The 21,575-nt window shown below is 38.9% G+C and overlaps 1 pseudogene; it reads right to left on the bottom strand.

The window, feature by feature from the left end:
• C1GALT1P1 (C1GALT1 pseudogene 1) lies at positions 19,817-21,284 on the bottom strand (annotated as a pseudogene).

Raw genomic sequence — 21,575 nt, 5'->3', positions numbered from 1 at the left:
TGTATAAAGTTATTCTCCTTGGCATTATTTATCATAGCAAAACACTGGGAAAAACTTAAATACATTGAAGAGGAAACATTAAATAAATCATGTCACACACATAAAATGAGATAATATGGAGTCATAAATAAGATCAAGGAAGTTAATTATATACAGATACAGCATGTCTGCAGGATACATTTAAACATTAAAAAGCAAGGTGCAGATGCTTAACACTGTGGGAGGCAAAATAGTTTACTGACTTTCAGCAAGTCACTAAACAAATGGAAAATCAAAGAGTAATAACAAACCCTGGAGGAGGTAGGAGATCAGTACCCAGAGTTTGTACATTATTTGACATGTCCAGTTTGGAATACTGGCAAGTATATTACACAGCACAAAGGAGGTGGATGGGAGCAAAGTTGTATTGAGTTAAGGAAATAATTACAGATAGAAACGTAGGGGAAGAGGGGAATAGAGCTATATAGGATTAACATTTTTATACACCACTGAAATTAAGCAATTATAAATCAGAAGCTGATTCTGATAAGTCAAGGTATATAAGGTATAGCCTAGATCAACTACTAAAAAAACTTTTTAAAATAGAGAAAAATAATTAAGAAAATTAAAATGTTTCATTAAAAATATTCACCAAAGGCAAAAGAAAGCAGTAATGAAGAAATAGCAAAATAAAGATATGAGACATAGAAAATGAAAAGCAAAATGGCAATGTAATCCAACTATATCAATAACAACACTAAATGTGAATGAATAAAAAAATTAGTAACAATTCTTCACAAACTCTCCAAAGTACAGAAGACAAGGAAATAGTTCCCAATAGGTCTTATAAGGCCAATATTACCCTGATACCAAAACCAGACAAAGACATTACAAGAAAAGAAAGGCACAGACCAATAATTCTTACAAAGATGGATGCAAAAGCCTTCAAAAAATACAAGCAAACTGAATGCAGCAACATATAAAAAGAACTATAGACCATGACCTGGTAGGATTCATCCCAGGAAGGCAAGGTTGGTTTAACATCTGAACGTCAATCTATGTAATATAACACATCAATAGAATAAAAAGGAAAAATCACATGATTATCTGAACAGATGCAGCAAAAACATCTGAGAAAACATCCAGCCTCCTTTCATGATGAAAATACTCAACAAACTAGAAATTGAAGAGAACATCTTCAACCTGATAAATGACATCCATAAAAACCCACAGAAAACATCATACTTCATGGTAAAAAACTAGATGCTTTTCTCCTAAGATTAGGAACAAAACGAGGATGTCCACTCTCGCCATTTCTATCCAACACTGTATTGGAGGCCCTAACCAGGCCAATTAGGCAAGAGAAAAAAACAAGAGGCTTCCAGATTAGAAAGAAAGTTAAACTATCTCTATTCACAGATGACATGATTTTGTATGTAGAGAATCCTAGGGAATCCACTAAAACCTCTTATAAACTATGAAACAAGTACAGCAAGGTTGCAGAATACAATGTCAATATATAACTTTCAATTCTATTTCTAGATACTTGCAATAAAAAACTCAAAAGTGAATATAAGAAAACAATTCCTTTTACAATAGCATAAGAAAGAATGAAATACTTAGGAATAAATGTAACAAAAACTGCAAAACTTATACTCTGAAAACTGTAAACCATTGTTGAAAGAAGTTGAAGAAGATCTAAATAACTGTAAAAACATCACATGTTCATGGATCAAAAGACTTACCATTGTTAAGATAGCAACACTCTCCAAACTGACCTACAGATTCAATCAAATCTCCATCAGCATCCCAGTTAACTTCTTTGCAAAACTGACAAGCTGATTTTAAAATTGATAAGGAATTGCAAGGTGCCCACAATCTTGAAAAAGAACAAAGTAGGAAGACCCACATTCCCTGATTTCAAAATTTACACAAGGCAACAGTATTCAAGACAGTGTGGTACTGGCCAGGATGGCTAGAATTAAAAAGAGGATAAATAAGGAACACTGGCAAGGGTGTGGAAAAACTGGAACCCTCATACACACCTGGCCGATATAGAATGGTGCAGTTATTTTGAAAAATAGTCTGGCAGTTTCTTAAGAAGTTAAACATAGAGTTACCCTATGATCCAGAAATTCTACTCCTAGGTTTCAATTCAAGAGAGAAATGAAAACACACATCATGCAAAAAACTCATATACAAATGTTCACAGCAGCATTATTCATAATAGCTAAAAAATCAACTCAAATGTTCATTGTTTGATGAATGCATTTAAACAATATTTCTTAAACCTTTTTAAAAAGTAAGCTAGACACAGTGGTGTGTGCCCGTAATCCTAACTCCTCAGGAGGCTGAGGTTGGAGGATTGCCTGAGCCCAGACGTTCAAAACCAGCCTGGGGAAAGTAGTAAGACTCCCTACCTCAGAAAAATGGTCTCACTTGTTCTTTCAAAATTATTTTCATTTCTGTGATGGTTTTCCTTCTTTTATTTCCTCCTTCAGTCTGTCATTTAGTATTTTATTTCCTTTGATTATCTGACCATCTATATTGTATTCTTGCATTGTGTTCTTTCACAAAATCAACAATTGCTTCATTGTCTATTGATTTCAATTCATGGTAAAACGTTTGGCAGCCCCGAATGTTTGCAGGGCCTGGGGCAAGAGTAAAACAGAAACCCCAACAGCCATTTGTCTAAATTTAAAAGGTATAAGTCAAGTTTTGGAACTATTGAATAAAATACATTCTGCTGTCTTATTTTGACCAAAATACCTTTAAAACAACATAAAAATATGCAGAGATGATCTTTATATGATTGAAATGCAGTCAATATAAAAGAGAACTAAATTTAATTATTACTGCACATGTCTAGGTGTTCTGTTCATGGATAAGCAATAAAAGAAACAAATAAATAAAAGAAACAAATATATTTTATAAATTATATTTATTCCATGAATTTTATGTCTTCATTTTAACACAATCACAATATCAACAAATGTCATACTATTTTCAATTAATTTCTGTTCCATTGAAGGTAATAATCTAAAGGATTACAAAAGAAACATTTTATTCAAAGTGTCCCAAATTTCCACAAAGGGGTACACTTTGAACACAAAGAGAAGCAATAAAATCAGTGAGGCACTTAGTGGAAAACAATACTTTATTATGCAAAAATTTTTTGCTTTCGTGTTGAGAGGAAAAATATGACAGATTAATTTGTCATTTCTGTTTCCTGAAACTTCTGACACTCCAATCCTCACTGATCTGTGCAGCAGTGTCAGTAGCAGTCAACCCATAAATCTGAATAATAGTTGGGCAGAGTTACCTATTGTTTTAAAGATATTGGGCAAAGGATTTGGAGAAGCATTTCCCTGGCGTTATTCACAAAAAGTTTAGATTAGTTGTGCTGTGCTGACACGGAGCATTAAATCCAAAAGTGACAGAGCTGCCTATGTGTTCTTTAATAAATGTGTGTGCTTGTGATATATGGGTCCCTCTGAAGTGTGGAACCCAGAGCAGAGGCCTCTTTTTTCTGAGTCGATGAGTGATATGTATTTGGTACTTTTCATCTTCTCTATACCATGTTTTTCTGGTTAATTTTGTCTCATGCCATGTTTGACTGCTCTTTCTCACATCTTTTTTCTCTAGTATCCTTATCTACCACTGCAAAGGCAAATACTTCAGATCATATATCCTCGTTGGCTCTTTCCGGGAGCTGCTACGATCCGTCCCCAGCCCACTATGCCAACAGTCCATTCACACCACCTAACACTACTTAACTATTTTTACATTTGAGGATCTTCATCTGTATCCAGTTTTGCTTGGTGTTATGGGTTGAATCGTGTTCCCATGTAAGTAAAAAATATGTTGAAGTCCTAACTCCTAGTACCTCAGAATGTGACCTCATCTGGAATTAGGGTCATTGCAGGTGTAACTGGTTAATATGCGGTCATATTGGAGTAGAGTAGGCTCCTGATCCAATCTTAATGGTATCCTTATAAGAAGACAGGCACGGGAGGTCAGAGACACACATGGAGAATGCCATGTTATGACTAAGGCAGAGACTGGAGTTATGCAACTGCAAACCAAGGCACACCAAAAATTGCCAGTAAACCACCAAAAGCTGGGAAGAGGCAAGGAAGGACATCTCTGCAGTTTCAAGAGGAAGCATAGCCCTGTTTACACCTTGATTTTGAACTTCTAGGTCCCAGAACTGAAGAGACAATGAGTATCTATTGTTTTGTGGTACTTTGTTATGACAGCACTAGGAAACTAATACACGGTGTGTTTTACCCATTTCTTGTTGCTCTGGTTCATTTCTAAAAGAGATGAAACTTTGGATCTAAGATGTCATCAAGTTCATAGTGTCAACGATTCTCCACATTTGCAGTAGAGTTATGAGATTAGAATTGTCTACATGATTGCCCTAAAAGGAATGGGTTTCTATTCCATCTACTAACCCACAAAAGATCCTTAATAAATAAATATATGTGAGAAGTATTTTCATATATGGAGGCAACTAAACTTCTCCATAGCATAAGTGTGACTGCAATTTGGAAGACGTTTGAATTATTATGAGATCATTTGTTCCTTGCAAAGTTTTTGCCTTCTTAGAAACAGAGGCTCCCTGTAAGTAAACATAACCAAGTTGTGGTAAAAGTCCATGATGTCCTCCCAGTCCCATATGGGGACATAGGCTTATGATGTCAGAAAAACATGAAATTCTGTTTTCCACTGAGGACTCTGGAGGCCTCAACATAGTCACTATTCCATACCTTTCTACACTCCCACTACTCTCCACAAATAGTAGTTCACTGGAGGGTGAATATTTTGTAAAAATGTGTAGTTCTTGGGGTTTCAACTTTCTTTTGTTTTTGAGACAGAGTCTCGCTCTGTCTCCCAGGCTGGAGTGTAGTGGCGCGATCTTGGCTCACTGCAAGCTCCACCTCCCAGGTTCACACCATTCTCCTGCCTCAGCCTCCCAAGTAGCTGGGACCACAGGTGCCCGCTGCCACACCTGGCTAATTTTTTGCATTTTTTAGTAGAGATAGGGTTTCACCGTGTTAGCCAGGATGGTCTCAATCTCCTGACCTGGTGATCCACCTGCCTCAGCCTCCCAAAGTGCTGGGATTACAGGCGCGAGCCAATGCGCCCAGCTGGGGTTTCAACTTTCCACCAGGAAAGGTAAGAAGTGGAAGATGGCCTTTCAAGTGTGGTTTGACCATTCTGAATCTATCATCATGACACTTGGCTTGTGCAAATCCCAAACATCCATTGATTAATAATAACATTCTCTGACAGCTACTTTCCCATTTCTCTCCTCTTCTTTACCTGTTTATTATTTTTAAAAAATTAGATAGAGTCTTGCTATATTGCCCAGGCAGGACTTGAACTCCTAGGCTCAAGCAATCCTTCTGCCTCAGCCTCCTGAGTAGCATGGATTACAGGTGCATGCCACCATGTCCAGCTTCTCTGCTCTTCCTTAGAACAATACTCTTATTACTATTATTATTGTGGTTAAAAAAACACACAATGTTGTATTTACCATCTTTGTATTGGGCCATTCTTGCATTACTATACAGAAATACCGGGCTGGGCATGGTGGCTCACGCCTATAATCCCAGCACTTTGGGAGGCCAAGGTGGGTGGATCACGAGGTCAGGAGATCGAGACCATCCTGGCTAACACAATGAAACCCCGTCTCTACTAAGAATACCAAAAAAATTAGCTGGGCGTGGTGGCGGGCGCCTGTGGTCCCAGCTACTTTGGGAGGCTGAGGCAGGAGAATAGTGTGAACCCAGGAGGCGGAACTTACAGTGAGCTGAGATTGTGCCACTGCACTCCAGCCTGGGTGACAGTGCGAGACTCCATCTCAGGAAAAAAAAAAAAAAAAAAAAAAAAAAAGAAAGAAATACCTGAGACTGGGTAATTTATAAAGAAAAGAGGTTTAATTGGCTCACAGTTTGCAGGCTGTATAAGCATGGTGCTGACATCATCTGGCTTCTGGGGAGGCCTCAGGGAACTTTTATTCATGGTGGAAGGCAAAGTGGGAGCTTGCATGTCATGCGGTGAAAGCAGGGGCAAGATTGTGGGGAGAGGTGCCACACACTTTTAAATGACCAGATCTTGTATTAACTCAGATCAAGAGCTCACTTATCACCAAGGGGATGGCCTAAGTCATTCATGAGGGATCTGCCCCCATGACCCAAACACATCCCACCAAGGCCACCTTGAAGATTGGGGATTATATTTCAACATGAGATTTGAGTGGGGACAAATGTCCAAACTATATCATTCCATCTCTGCATCCCCCTTCTCATGTCCTCCTAATATTGCATAATACGATTATGCTTTCCCAATAGTCTCTTAAAGTCTTAACTTGTTCCAGCATTACCTCAAAAGTCCAAAATCTCAAATAAGACAAGCCAAGTCTTGTCCACCTATGAGCCAGCTTGTAAAATCAAACAAGTTATTTAGTTTCAAGATACAATGGGAGGACCAGCATTGGGTAATCATTTCCATCTCAAAAGGGAGAAATCGGCCAAAAGAAAGGGGCTACAGGCCCCATGGAAGTTAGAAACCCTGCATTAATTCTTAAAGCTTTGAAATAATCTCCTTTGACTTCATGTCCCATATCCAGGGCACACTGATATGAGGGTTGGGCTCCCAAAGCCTTGAGCAGCTCTGCCCCTGTGACTTTGTGGGTTCTGCCCCACAGCTGATCTCACAGGCTGTTGAGTGCATGCAGCTTTTCCAGGCACAGGGTGCAAGCTGCCAGTGGATCTACCACTCTGGGTTCTTGAGGACAGTGGTCCCCTCCACTAGGCAGTGCCTCAGTGAGGACTCTGTGTGTGGGCTCCAACTACACATTTCCCCTCAGCACTGCCCTAGCAGAGGTTCTTTTTGAGGGCTCTGCCCCTGTAGCAGGCTTCTGCCTGGGCACCCAGGCTTTTTCATATATCCTCTGAAATACAGATGAAGGCTGGCACACCTCATTCACTCTTTCACCCTACAGGCTTAACACCATGTGGAAGGCACCAAGGCTTACAGTGGCTTTCACTCTCCAGAATGGTGGCATGAGCAGTATCTGGGGTCTTTTGAGCCAAGGCTTGAGCCAGAGTGGCCAGAATGTAGGGAACAGTGTCCTAAGGCTGTGCAGGGCAATGGGGCCCTGGACCTGGCCCATGAAACCATTCTTCCCTCCTAGGCCTCTGGGCCTGTGATGGAGGTGCTGCCATGAAGGTCTCTGAAATGGCTTTGAGGTCTTTTTCCCACTCTCTTTGATATCAGCACTTGGCTCCCTTTTAGTTATGCAAATATCTCTAGCAAGATATTGCTCCACAGCCTGCTTCAATTTCTCTCTCGAAAAACCTTTTACTCTCTTTGCCACATAGCTAGGCTGCAAAATTTCCAAATATTCTCTTATCTTCCTATCTTCTTCTCTGCCCTCCAAACTCTTCCAGCGTCTGCCTGTTACCCAGCTCCAAAGTCAGTTCCACATTTTCAGGCATCTTTATAGCAATGCTCCACTCCTCAGCACCAATTTTCTATATTAGGCCATTCTTGCATTGCTATAAAGAAATATCCAAGACTGGGTAATTTATAAAGAGGTTTCACTGGCCCATGGTTGTGCAGGCCATACAAGCATGGCATCAACATTGCTCATCTTCTGGGGAGGCCTCAGGGAGCTTTTACTCGTGGTAGAAGGTGAAGTGGGAGCTTGCACATCACATGTTGAAAGCAAGAGCAAGAGAGAGAGAGAGAGGTGGGAGAGGTGCCACATACTTTTAAATGGCCAGATCTCATGCAAACTCAGAGCAAGTGCTCACTTATCACCAGGGGGATGGCCCGAGTCATTCATAGGGGATCCACCTGATAATCCAAACACCTCCCACCAGGCCCCACCTCCAACATTTCAACATGAGATTTGGTTACAGACAAATAACCAAACTATAGGCCAGGTGCAGTGGGTCATGCCTGCAATCCCAGCACTTTGGGAAGCCAAGGTGGGTGGATCATGAGGTCAAGAGATCGAGACCATCCTGGACAACATGGTGAAACCCTGTCTCTACTAAAAATACAAAAATTAGCTGGGCATGGTGGTGCACACCTGTAGTCCCAGCTACTTGGGAGGCTGAGGCAGAAGAATCACTTGAACCCGGGAGGCAGAAGTTGCAGTGAGCTGAGATCATGCCATTGCCCTCCAGCCTGGTGACACAGTGAGACTCCATCTCAAATAAAATAAAATAAAATAAAATAAAATAACCAAACTACAGCAATCTTAATCATTTTTTACTTAAAAATGATTACATTTCAGTAGTGTTAAATATATTCACATTATTGTGCAACAGATATCTAGGATGCTTTCATCTTGCAAAACTGAAACTTTATACCCCCAAACACTAATTCCTCTTCCCCCAACCTCCAGCCCTTAAAAACTACCTTTCTGCACTCTGTTTCTATAATTTCTGACCACTCTAAATACACCATATGAGTGGAATCATATAGTATTTGTCCTTTTATGAATGGTTTATTTCACTCAACATCATGTCCTTGAGGATCATTCATGTTGTAGCATATGACAGAATTCCTTAAGGCTGCATAGTATTCCATTGTATAAATATACCACACTTTCCTTATCCATTCATCTGTTGATGGACATTTGGGTTGCTTGCACCTCTTGGCTATTATGAATAATGCCACAATAAACATAAGTGTGCAAGTATCATTTAGAGACCTTGCTTTCAATTATTCTGCATGTATACCCAGAAATGAGATTGCTAGATCACATGGTTTTTCTATTTTTAATTTTTTGAGGAACCGCCATATGGTTTTCCACAGTGGCTGTGCCATTTTACATGACCACCACCAATACACAAGTGTTCCAACTTCTCCATATCCTCTCCGACATGTGTTATTTTCTGTTTTTTTGACAGTGGCCATACTGGTAGGTGTGAGATAATATCTCATTGTGGTCTTGATTTCCATTTCTTTAATGATTGGTGATGCTGGGCATTGTCCTGTGCATTTATTGGCCATTCACATATCTCTGGAAAAATGTCTATTTTGATCCTTTGCCCATTTTTAACTTAAGTTTTTGTTGTTGAGTTGTAGAAGTTCCTTATATGTTCTGGATATTAACCCCTTATCAGGTACATAATTTGCAGTTATTTTCTCCCATTCTATAGGTTTTCTTTTCACTGTTTCCTTTAGTGTGCTAAAGCACTTAAGTGTAATGTAGTCCCATTATCAATTACTGCTTTTCTTGCCTAGTGTTTTTGGTGTCATATCCAAAATATCATCGCCAAATCCAATGTCCTGAAGCCTTCCTCCCATATCTTCTCCAGGAGTTTTATAGTTTTAAGGCTTAGAGTTAGGTCTTTGATCCATCCTTTTTAACTTAATTTTTGTGGGGTAGGGTAAGGATTCAATGTCAAGCTTTTGCATCCAGTTATCCCAACACCCTTTACTAAAGAGACACCTTTCCCTATTGTGTGGTCTAGGAATACTGCCAAAGTTTATTTGACCATACATACAAAAGCTTATTTCTGGGCTCTCCATTCTGTTCCATTGGTCTATATAGCTACTTTTATGCCATTATCACATCATCTTAATTGCAGTTTTTTTTGTGGTATGTTTTGAAATCAGTAAGTGTGAGGCCTCCTACTCTGTCCTTTTTCAAGATTGTTTTGACTATTTGGCATCCCTGGAGGTTCCATAAGCAATTTAGAATTTTTTTCTCTTTTCTCTAAAGAATGCATTGGGATTTTCATAGATATTGCATAGAATCTTAGATTACTTTGGGTAGTATGAATATTTTAACAATATTAAGGCTTCCAAGCCATGAACATGGGATGTCTTACATTTATCTGTGTCTTCTTTGATTTCTTTTAGCAATGCTTTGTAGTTTTCAGTGTACAAGTCTTTCATGTCCTAAGTGTTTTGCCCTTTCTTATGTTATAGTATATAGTATGCGTTTTTGTAATTTCCTTTTCTGGTCAATGTTAGTGCATAAAAACACAAATGATTTTTATGTGTTGACTTTGTATTCTGCAATTTTTTTGAAAGTGTTTATTGTAATTTTTGTGGAATCTTTAGAATTTTCTAAATATGAGATCATATTGTTAGCAAATAGAGATAATTTTACTTCTTTTCCAGTTTGGATGTCTTATACTTCTTTTTCTTGCCAAGTAGTTCTTGCCAGACTTCCCATGTTAAATATTAGTGGTGAGAGTGCAAATCCTTGCTTTATTCTTAATCTTAGAGGAAAAGCTTTCAGTCTTTCTCCATTGAATGTGATGCTAGTATGGGCTTGTCTTATATGACCTTTATTATATTGAGGTAAGTTCCTTATATACCTATTTTGTTGCGTCTATATTCATCAGCAATATCAGTCCATTATTGGTCCATAGGTTTTTCTTTTTCTTTCTTTTTTTGTGTTTGTGTGTTTTGTTTTGTTTTGTTTTTGAGAGAGTATCTCATTCCTGTTGCCCAGGCTGCAGTGCAGTGGCACAATCTCAGCTCAGCACACTGCAGCCTCGACTTCTCGGGCTCAGGTGATTCTCCCACCTCAACCTCCTGAGTAGCTCCAAATGCACATCACACCTGGCTGATTTTTTTTTGTTTTAGTAGAGACGGAGTTTCACCATGTTGCCCAGTCTGGTCTTAAACTCCTGGGCTGAAGAGACCCACCTGCTTTGGTCTCCCAAAGTGCTAGAATTACAGATGTGAGCCACCATGCCCAGTCTCTTGTGTTTTATTCTGGTTTTGTTATCAGCTTACTGCTGCCCTCAAAGACTCAGTTTGGGATTGTTCCCTCCTCTTCAATTCTTTGGAAGAGTTTGAAAAGAATTGGTATTAGTTCTTTAAATGTTTGGTGGAATTTTTTTGTGAAACCATCAGGTCCTGGGCTTTTCTTCACTGGGAAGGTTTTGATTACTGCTTCAATTTATTTACTCATATTATGTTTATTCATATTCTTTATTTCTTCATGATTCAGTCTTTGTAGGTGGTATTCCTCTAGGAATTTATCCATTTCTTTTACATGATCCAATTTGTTGGCATAGTTGTTCACAACAGTCTCATAATCCTTATTTCTGTGACAATGGTTATAATGTCCTCTCATTCATTTCTTTTTTTTTCTATTTTTTATTATACTTTAAGTTCTAGGGTACATGTGCACAACATGCAGGTTACATATGTATACATGTGCCATGTTGGTGTGCTGCACCTTTTAACTCGTCATTTACATTAGGTATATCTTCTAATGCTATCCCTCCCCCCTCCTCCCACCCCACAACAGGCCCCAGTGTGTGATGTTCCCCTTCCTGTGTCCAAGTGTTCTCATTGTTCAAGTCCCACCTACCTATGAGTGAGAACATGCGGTATTTGGTTTTTTGTCCTTGCGACAGTTTGCCGAGAATGATGATTTCCAGCTTCTCATTTGTTTCTAAAGTTTTTTATTTTACTTCTTTTTTAGAGATAGGGTTTCGCTATGTTGCCCAGGCTGGTCTTGAACTCCTAGGCTCAAGCAATCCTCCCACCTTGGCCTCCCAAAGTGCTAGGATTACTGGTATGAGCCACTGCACCTGGCTTTCTAATTTTACTTATTTCAGTCTTCTCTCTTATTTTCTCAGTTGGTCTAGCTAAGGGTTAGACAATTTCATTGATCTTTTCAACAAAAACAACTTTTGGTTTCCTTGATGTTTCTCTATGGTATTTCTATTCTCTAATTCATTTACCTATGCTCTAATCCTTCTGATAACTTAGGGTTTAGTTTGTTGTTCTTTTCTAGTTCTTTGAGATATGAGATTAGGTTGTTGATTTGAGATCTTTCTTCTTTTTTAATGTAGGTGTTTACCACTATAAACCTCTCCCTCACTTCTACTTTCACTGCATTCCATAAGTGTGATATGTTGCATTTTTGCTTTCATTAGTTTCCAGATATTATCTAAATTCACTTGTGTTTTCTTCTCTGACCCATTCATTAAGAGGGCACTGCTTAGTTCCCACAAATTCGTGGACTTTCTTGTTTTCCTTCTGCTATTGATTTCTTGTTTTATTTCATTGTGATTGGAGAAGATACTTTGTATGATTTCAATCTCCTTATATTTGTTAAGATTTGTTTTACAGCCTAACATGTGGTCTATCTTGGAGAAGCCTCCACGAGTACTTAAGAATGTGTATTCTGCTGTTGTTGAGTGGACATCAGTTACAGCCAACTGATCTATACTGTGTTCATGTCTTCTGTTTCCTTGTCGATCTTCTGTATGGTTGTTCTGGCCATAAATGAAAGAGAAGTATTATGTCTCCTGCTATTATTGTGTTGTTGTTAATTTCTTCTTTCAGTCCTGTCAATGCTTCACCTATTTGGGAGTTCTAACATTAGATGTGCATATATTTATAGTTGTCTTATGTTCCTGATGAATGGACCCCTTATCATTACATAACATCCTTTTTTGTTCTCCTGAGTTTCTACTTAAAGACTATCTAGACTACCTTGTCTAATATTACATATGGCCACCCCCGCTTTTAGCTTCCCATTTACATGGAACTGTTTTCCATCCCTTCACGTTTAGACTTTGTGTGTCCCTAAGTCTAAGGTAAGTCTTTTGTAAAAAGCATACAGTTGGATCTTGTTTTGTTTTTTTTTAAATCCACTCAGCCAATCTGTCTTTTAATTAGTGTTCATCACATCTACCTTTAAAGTAATTGCTGATAGGAAAGAACTCACTATTGCCATTTTGTTGTTTTCTGTATGTCACGTAGCTTTTTTGTCTCTACTTTCTTCCACTGCTGTCTTTTTTGTTTTGTTGTGTTTTTTGTTTTTTGTTTGTTTGTTTTTTTTTGTAGTGACATGCTTTGATTCCCTTCTCATTTCCCTTTGTGTATATTTTGTAGGTATTTTCTCTGTGGTTACCACTGCAATTACATAAAACACCTAAACATTGTAACATCCTATTTGAAACAGCTAACAACTTCATTCATGTATAAAAACTCTACTCCTTTACATCTCTGCCCCCCTCCACTTTGTAATTAACACAATTTTCTCTTTTTATAATGAGTATCCATTACTCAGATATATAATTACTTTTTACACTTCTGTTTTTTGTATTCAAAACTGGTACCTGGGCATGGTGGTGCACACCTGTAGCCCCAACTACTCAGAGGGTAAGGCAGGAGGATTACTTGAGCCCAAAAGTTCAAGACCAGCTTGGGCAACAAAGCTAGACCCCAACTTTAAAAATAAATAAATAAATTCAATGCTAGAATTAAATGTAATTTACACACCTACATTACAATATTATAGGACTGTATATATTTCTATGCATTTACCTTATCAGGAACTTCTATACTTTGAATGTATCATCCCATTCCCTTCTAGTCTGCAAGGTTTCTGCTGAGAAACATGCTAATAATTGATTAGGAGCCCTCTTGTACATGATGAGTGCTTTTCTCTTGCTGCTTTCATGACTCTGTTTTTGATAGTTTATTATAATGTGTCTTTGTGTGGTCTCTTGAGATTTATCTTTGCTGGCATTTTCTTAGTTTCTTTTATATGTCAATTTCTCTCATATCTAGGAAATTTTTTGCTGTTATTTCTTCTAATAGGTCTGTGCCTTTTTCTCTATTTTTCTTCTGAAACTCCCATAATGTTGTTCTGTTTGATGGTGTCCCATAAGCCCCTTAGGCTCCCTTTATATTTTTTCATTCTCCTGTGCCTCAGCAATTTTGAAAGTCCTGTCTTTGAGTTCACTATTTCTTCGGCCTTTCCAAGTCTGTTCAATCCCTCTAGAGATTTTTTTTTTTTTTTATCAATTCAGTTATTGTATTCTTCAGTTGCAGAATTTGTTTGGTACTTCTTTACAGTTTCTCTTTGATGATATTCTCAATCTGTTTATGCATGATTTTCTTGGTTTTGTTTAGCTATCTATGCTCTATTTTAATTAAGCATTCTTATAATGGTATTTGTTAATTCTCTGGCACCTCATTTACCTCCATTTATTTCAAGTTGGTTTCTGGAAATTTAATTGGTTTCTTAAATGTGCCATGTTTCCATTTCTTTGTTATGTCTCATTAATTTTTGTTGGGATTTTAGTATTGAAGAATCAGCCATCTCACCCAGATTTTCTGATCTTGTTTTCTATATCAAAGACTTTCTCCATTCAGCCTGGCTAGAGATTCTGGAGGCTTCTTAAGCCTTTTCTGGGAATGCATCCTCTTTAGGCTTGTGTGTGAATTCTACTTGAAGAGGTTTGCAGGGTTTCTAATCAGAAGTTCCCCTGCAATACTGTGGCGTCTTGGGTGCTATAGCAAGTCATGGTACTGGAGCTTCGCCTAGTGTCTGTCTGTGGTACTGCAGACTCCGGAGCAGTGTGTTCCCAGAGCTTACAGCTGGTGCCCCCTTGCTGTGCTCAGATTCAGGCAAAAATACAGAAAGCGGTCCCTCAGCCAGGTCCCTAAAACTTAGAATGTTGGATATATGTTCTAGTCTTTTTCCTCTGCAGATAGAAGTTTGAAGGTTTCCTCCCAATTGCTCCACGCTGTGCAGGGGTTGGGGGCTGGGAGGCTCTGGCAAGCGACAGGTAGTTGAATTTTCCTACCTGGCTTTGATGCCGTTGATTTTAGTCTCACTTGTGGTAAAGCAACCTGTAACCGGTTTCTGGATTTCTCACAGAGGGATTTGGTCTATCATTGTTAAATTCATTTATCCATGACAGAAGAAGGGTCTTGGTCTTCCTGTTCCATCGCCTTGCTGACATACTACAGTACTCTTCTAAAGACCATTTCTGGGATGGGCACAGTGGCTCACACCTGTAATCCTCACACTTTGGGAGGCCAAGGCAGGAGGATAACTTGAGTCCAGGAGTTCAAGACCAGCCTGGGCAACATAGTAAGGACCTCATCTCTACAAAAAGTTTTAAAAAATTGTCAGGCTTGGTGGTGAATGCTTTTAGTCCCAGCCACTTGGGAGGCTGAGGTGGGAGGACTGCTTGAGCCCAGGAGGTTGAGGCTGCAATGAGCCATAATCACATCACTACACTCCAGCCTGGGTGATAGGGCAAGACCCAATCTCCACAAACAAACAAAAAAACTGTTTTCACTATCTCCCTTCTTATTCCCTCCTCAGTTCACTCAAATCACCCTTTTGTCCTCACCACTCCATTCAAACCATACTGCTCAGCCACTACTGAACTTAATTGTCAAATGAAATGGTCAATTCAGTCTTCATCTTAGTCAATCCTTCAGTAGTATGCCAGACACTTAATGTTTCTCCCTCTTTTATGAAACTTTGCTTCAAGGCCCCCCCATGCAAATTTAATTTTTTTTTCTCCTCTCTCAGCTCTCTTACCTCACAGGTTGTCCCCTCAGTCTTATTGAGTCACGCTAATTTTGTCTATCTTAAATATAGAAGAACCCCGGGGTTCAGCCTGCTGACCTTTTAACTATCATTCTCTCAGTGAGCTCATCCGGTCCCACTGCTTTAAATACTATTTATATACCCATACTTCCCACACTTTTTTTTTTTTGAGATGGAGTCTCACTCTGTCTCCCAGGCTGGAGTGCAGTGGCACGATCTCGGCTCACTGCAACCTCCACCTCCTGGGTTCACGCCATTCTCCTGCCTCAGCCTCCCGAGTAGCTGGGATTACAGGTGCCTACCACCATGCCCAGCTAATTCTTTTGTATTTTTAGTAGAGACAGGGTTTCACCGTGTTAGCCAGGATGGTCTCGATCTCCTGACCTCATGATCCGCTTGCCTCGGCCTCCCAAAGTGCTGGATTACAGGCTTGGGCCACCACGCCCGGCCCTATACTTCCCACAATTCTATCTCTAGCCCTGACACTGACCTTGAATTCCCAATATGTATATTCAAATCACTACTTGGTGTGTCCACTTGGTGGTCTGTTTTCTCAAACTCAACATATCCAGCATGAAATTTTTGATACCTACCCCCTCAAAAGTTTCCACCCCATTCCCCAGTCTTCTTTCATTATTAGATGACTTATTTTTTCCTTCTTCATTTTCTTAGGTCAAAAACTTTGGAGATGTTCTTTATTTCTTTTTCTCATATTCACCTATACAGCAACAGACGAAGTTAGCTTTACCTTAAAAATAAACTCGGAATCTTTGTTTCCACTGCTATTACCCTAATCTAAGAAACTATACTTTTTTCTCTTACCCATATTAAAGCCTTTGCTTTAATTCCAATTGGTCCACCTGCTTCTGGAATTGTTCCCTAACAGCTTATTTTTCAAATAGTAACCAGTGATAAAATGTAGGATTATACCTTATCTGCTCATATGCTTCCAAATTTTGTCATACCATGAAAAAACCTGAAATCTTTACCATTCCCAATAAAGCCCTACAAAATCATGTCCCCAAATATCTTCTTGAACCCATTTCTGACCATTCTTCTCTTCCCTCACTCTACCAGCCTTTTGCTGCCTCAATTAGGGCACTTGCACTATTACTTCTGCGAGAATGTTTTCTCTGGCTGGGCATCATGGCTCACACCTGTGATCCCAGCACTTTGGAAGGCCGAGGTTGGTGGATCACCTGAGGTCAAGAGTTCGAGACAAGCCTGGCCAACATGATGAAACTCCATCTCTACTAAAAATACAAAAAAATTAGCCAGCATGGTGGTGGGCACCTGTAATCCTAGCTACTCAGGAGGCTGAGGCAGAAGAATCGCTTGAACCCGGGAGGTGGAGGCTGCAGTAAGCCGAGGTCGCGCCATTGCACTCCAGCCTGGGCAACAAGAGCGAAACTCCATCTTAAAAAAAAAAAAAAAGAATGGTTTTCTCCCTGATAGCCACATGACTATCACTCCCTCTCTATATTTTCAGCTCTGTTCAAACCACACTTCATAAGGATCTTCCTTGACAAACATATATAGTAATACCTTGCTTTATACTGGTTAATAATTTTTAACACAAACTGATATATTTGATCATTGTCTGCCTTTCCTCACTACAAATAATCTTCAAGAGATGAGGGATGTTACATTCATGGCTATATTCATTTTGGCACCTGGATGTGCAACCAGAATATTTGTTAAATGAATCCTACCTGAAGAGAGATACTAACTATATCTTATCTGATTTAGATCCCATAATGACCTCACATAAACTCTTCTTCCAAGAAATAAGACATCCTGAATACTGCAGCACCACCTCTTTTTGGCTAACCCTGAAAAGTGCATATATGTGAAAGCCCAAAAAATGAAATTCCTGAGCTACGTCTTTTCTAAGTTATCTCTATAAGATTCAACAAGATCTCAGACATAGCAGATTGGGAGCCCTACAGATCGAGCAAAATTGCTGGGTACAGTGGCACGCACCTGTGGTCCCAGCTACTCAGGAGTCTGAGGCAGGAGGATCACTTGATCCTAGGAGTTCAAGTCTAGCCTGGGCAACATAGTAAGACCTGTCTCTAAAAAGATTAAAATATCCACTGCTTCATGCAAATATTAGCTAATCTTCAGGTGGAGTTTTTAGTTTGACCCTAGCACAGTGCCTGACATCTAATGGGCAACTCGGTAATTCTGAATGAATGAATACACAGAACCCAATAGTACTTAAGGTTTCTCAAATGTTGGAAGACACTATTCATCACCAAAATCCTGGCTTCCCCAACCCATCTTGGCAAGCTGTCATGTAATGGTAGTTGCTTTCAACAATGCTAAGGTTTAATCTGTCCTGGAATGACTCTGGTTCTCGTAATCTCTACCTTGGCCAATTTCTCCAGGAAGCAGGCTCCAATTGAGGTCATCATTCTGAGATCTGAGAGCTGTTAGGACTCTGAAAAGTATTTGAAAAAAATGAGATACCACACCACCATAAGGGCAGAAATGGTTTGGCACAGGTAGATTACCACCAGGTGCAAACGTGTCAGGAAGATATACAGGCTCACCAGAGTGGCCCCAAGTTGCGTGAAATTCTACAGCAGTCTGCTTCATAAGGGAGGATGACTGTTAAGTCCCCATTCGGGTACATTACTTGTACTAATCACTGTGTCCCAACCAAGACAACAAATAGAGAAATTTTTGTGTGGCATCAACTGCAACTCAATGTTTCAAACTGTTTACCTTGTTGTGGACCTAGAGATACCATTATTGGTAACTGAAGTCCTCCCAGCCCCCAGTCCAGTACTTGGTACACTGGTGACCAGGCCCTTGGCTTCCTCCACCTAGTGCTGTAAGAAGACTAATTTTATGGCTATCTGGAGAGAAAGTGGTGTTAAGCCTTACAATCTCCTTTGATATTATTTGAAGGAAAATATATCAAAGCAATAATAGTTTCAAAATATGCTTTTTCAACCTACATCTTCCTCTCTTTCATGTTGAGATTCTCTGATAGGGCAGAAGACTCTTTATAACATTAACTATTTGTTACTTCCATGCCCTCATTGGACTATTATCTCCCATTTCAAGTAAAATGTACTAAAACAAAATTTCAGATAATATAAATAGAAAATTTTAAAGTAGAATTTGACATGTTTTTGGAAAAACACCTAAGTATTATTTTAAATATTTATTACTATCACCTTCTAGGTATGATGGTCACTTAAACGATCTAGAATTCAGCTAGACTTATACAATAGTAAGCATATTTCTATTATTTTATTGATTATAAAATACATCATACTTGTGTATTAAAATATATACCGTCCAAAAAGTAAAAACGCTTGGATGCCAGCAATTCTGGTTGGTTATGGCACATTAGATGCCGTGTGAGACTTCCTCCTTGATTACATCCCTCTACTTTCTTGCCCCTAGAAAACTATGCTGAATTTTATTAATGATTTCTTACGTTGCTTTTCTAATGTCTCTAAATGTTAGAATCTCTAATATAAATGGAATACTGTGTGAATTCGTCTGTGACTTGCTTATTCCAGTAAAGATGTTAAGTTTTTTATTTTTATTTTTATTTTTGAGATGGAGTTTCGCTCTGTTGCCCAGGCTGGGGTGCAGTGGTGTGAGCTCGGCTCACTGCAACCTCCGCTTCCTGGGTTCAAGCAATTCTCTGCCTCAGCCTCCCGAGTAGCTGGGATTATGGGCGCCTGCCACCATGCCCGGCTAATTTTTGTATTTTTAGTAGAGACGAGGTTTCATCATCTTGGCCAGGATGGTCTTGAACTCCTGACCTTGTGATCCATCACACCCTGCCAATGTTAAGATCTTTTTATGTTCATGTAACTAGTTCTTACATTTGCAGGCTCCATACTATTTTATTGCATGAATGTCCTACTATTTATCTATTCTATTGGTGGCTATTTGAGATGTTTCCAGTTTTCTATTACAAATGATGTTGCTATAAACATTCTTGTAAATGTCTCCTAGTGTAAAGATATGAGTTTCTCCTGGGGATATATGCACATTTACTTTACCAAGTAATGTTAAACTAGATTCCAAAATTGTCGTATGAATTTATACCCCTTCCAGCAGTATTTTCACTTGCACCGTATACTAGCCAATACTCAAATTACATTTTGAACTTTTTTGCCAATATTGTAGGTAAAAAATGGCACCTGTGATCTTAATATGCACTTTCCAGAATAAAATTAAATTTTATTTCATATATTTATAAACTTTCTTCTGTGAAATGTCAGTTCATGTCTGTTGCCCTTTTTTTTAATTTTCTTTGGGGCAGATCTGTTTATTACTAACATGGTGCACTGTAGTTTTAGCAAATTTAATTGTTTTAGTTTCTCAGTGACAATAATACAGATGGTCAAAAATAGGCAACAAAATCTCTTTTCTAGTTCCTCTACCTGGTCACCATTTTAAAAACACAAGTTCTTCATATATACAGATATATTTATATATTACTGTACGAAAACGCATTTTAACAGACTTCACAGCTCATTTAAAGCTCATTTAAAGTTTATAATCATTCATGTGAAAGATTCCTACATGGAATGTTCACTTAGAATTCCTCATTGGGATTCCAGTGTTCTAGGTTAGAAATGCAAAAGTCCTTCTTCAGTGCAATGCTAGACATTTTCCCTTTGTTCATCATTTACTTTCATTCAAGGGTTTCCTAACCTCACTTTTGTACCTTCGTTTTTGTTTGCTTGACTAATTTCCTTTAGTGTATTTTCAGGTAAGGCAGGTTGATATCTGTACAAATAATCATATAGACGACGATGATAAATGAGGTATCCTAACTCACGCATAGTTGTAGAATCAACGTAGTGAAAAGAAACTGCAAGATCAGAACAAGAACCAGGACCCTCTACAGGAGGATAACAGTTGTAATTCCAGTGCCAAAAGGTTCTGGGTAGATAACCTTTAATTAAATGTTCTGGCATAAAGGGATGAAAAGTTTCTTTTCCAGTGGTATCTCTGGAATCTCCTGCTTCCACATTTATAATTTCCATGCATCTCCCCAGTGCTGTCTTCAATGGAGGAACTAAATGTACACTTGTCTGTTTCAAATGCATCAACAAATCTCTTCAAGGCTTCTTTGCTTAGCACATATTCTGCTCCTCCACTCAATGTAGCCCTGCTTTACATATAGGGTTTTAGTTTTCTCCCAAAGTAAATGGGTTCTTCAGGGTAATATTTTGAAAGAAGCCATCTCAAATTGTCTACTATGACATACGTGTCATCATCTGCTTTCAAAAGCCAATCAGCATCTTCTAAATAATGTTCATGAACATACTGAAAAGCTTTGTTTTCCAGTATAGCTGATCTCTGCCTTCTTTGGTTTTCAATCCCACAGTAGGGAAGTCTTTATTTTCTTTTGAACTCATAACACTTTGTGACAATGCTGGGCCCATGTAACTTTGATAAGTTTGGCCTTTTTCTCTAGGTTTTAAGGGCTTGTCATAACCCAGCAAAGAATTTTAACTTTCTGATAGAGGTTTTCAGCGATGTCGGTGTTCTCATCTTTATGTTGGCTAGAATCAGCATTGAAGTTCATTTGTCCTTCTAGATGATTGTGCCATTATCATCTGAATGCCTCGCATGAGGATCATTATGAAGAATATTAGGCTGGGTGTCACCCTATTCTCCCAAAATACTAAATAGCTGAGAACGTTAAAAAAAAAAAAACAACAAAAAATCCTATTGCCGATCCACAGAGGAAGGCTAAAAAATTCAGCCAGGATTTAGAGGCCATTTCCCGGAAGTCTATTTCTCACATCAACCGCGGCTCCCTCTCGCTCCTCCTGGGGGCGAAGAGGAAGACGACACGGGATCGAGGACCTCTGGTTCTCTGGGCAGCCGCACAAGTGGCTCCTGGCCAAGAGCCGAAACCGCCCGCTGCAGCTCAAATGATTCAGCGGCAGCGGCGGCGGCCCGAGTTGACCATTTTTCTATTGGGTTTCTATTGTTCTCATATATGTATGGTTTATTATCTATTCTTGATAAAAGTCCTTTTGTCAATTATCTGTGTTTCAATATCTTCTCCTAGTCTGGGACTTTTCGTTTCACTCTTTTAATAATCAGGAGTTCTTAATTTTATTCAAATTTATCAATCTTTCCCTTTATAATTTGTCCTTTTATGTCTTAAGAACTCCTTCTCCAATCCAAGGTCATACAATTATTTCCTATAATTTATTCTTAAGAGTCTGGCTTTGCCTCTTACATT

Source organism: Homo sapiens, chromosome 12 (genome assembly GCF_000001405.40).
Source record: "Homo sapiens chromosome 12, GRCh38.p14 Primary Assembly".
Lineage (NCBI taxonomy): Eukaryota > Metazoa > Chordata > Mammalia > Primates > Hominidae > Homo > Homo sapiens.
The sequence above is the reverse complement of the archived record's forward strand: the minus strand, read 5'-3'. Positions and strand labels throughout refer to the sequence as shown.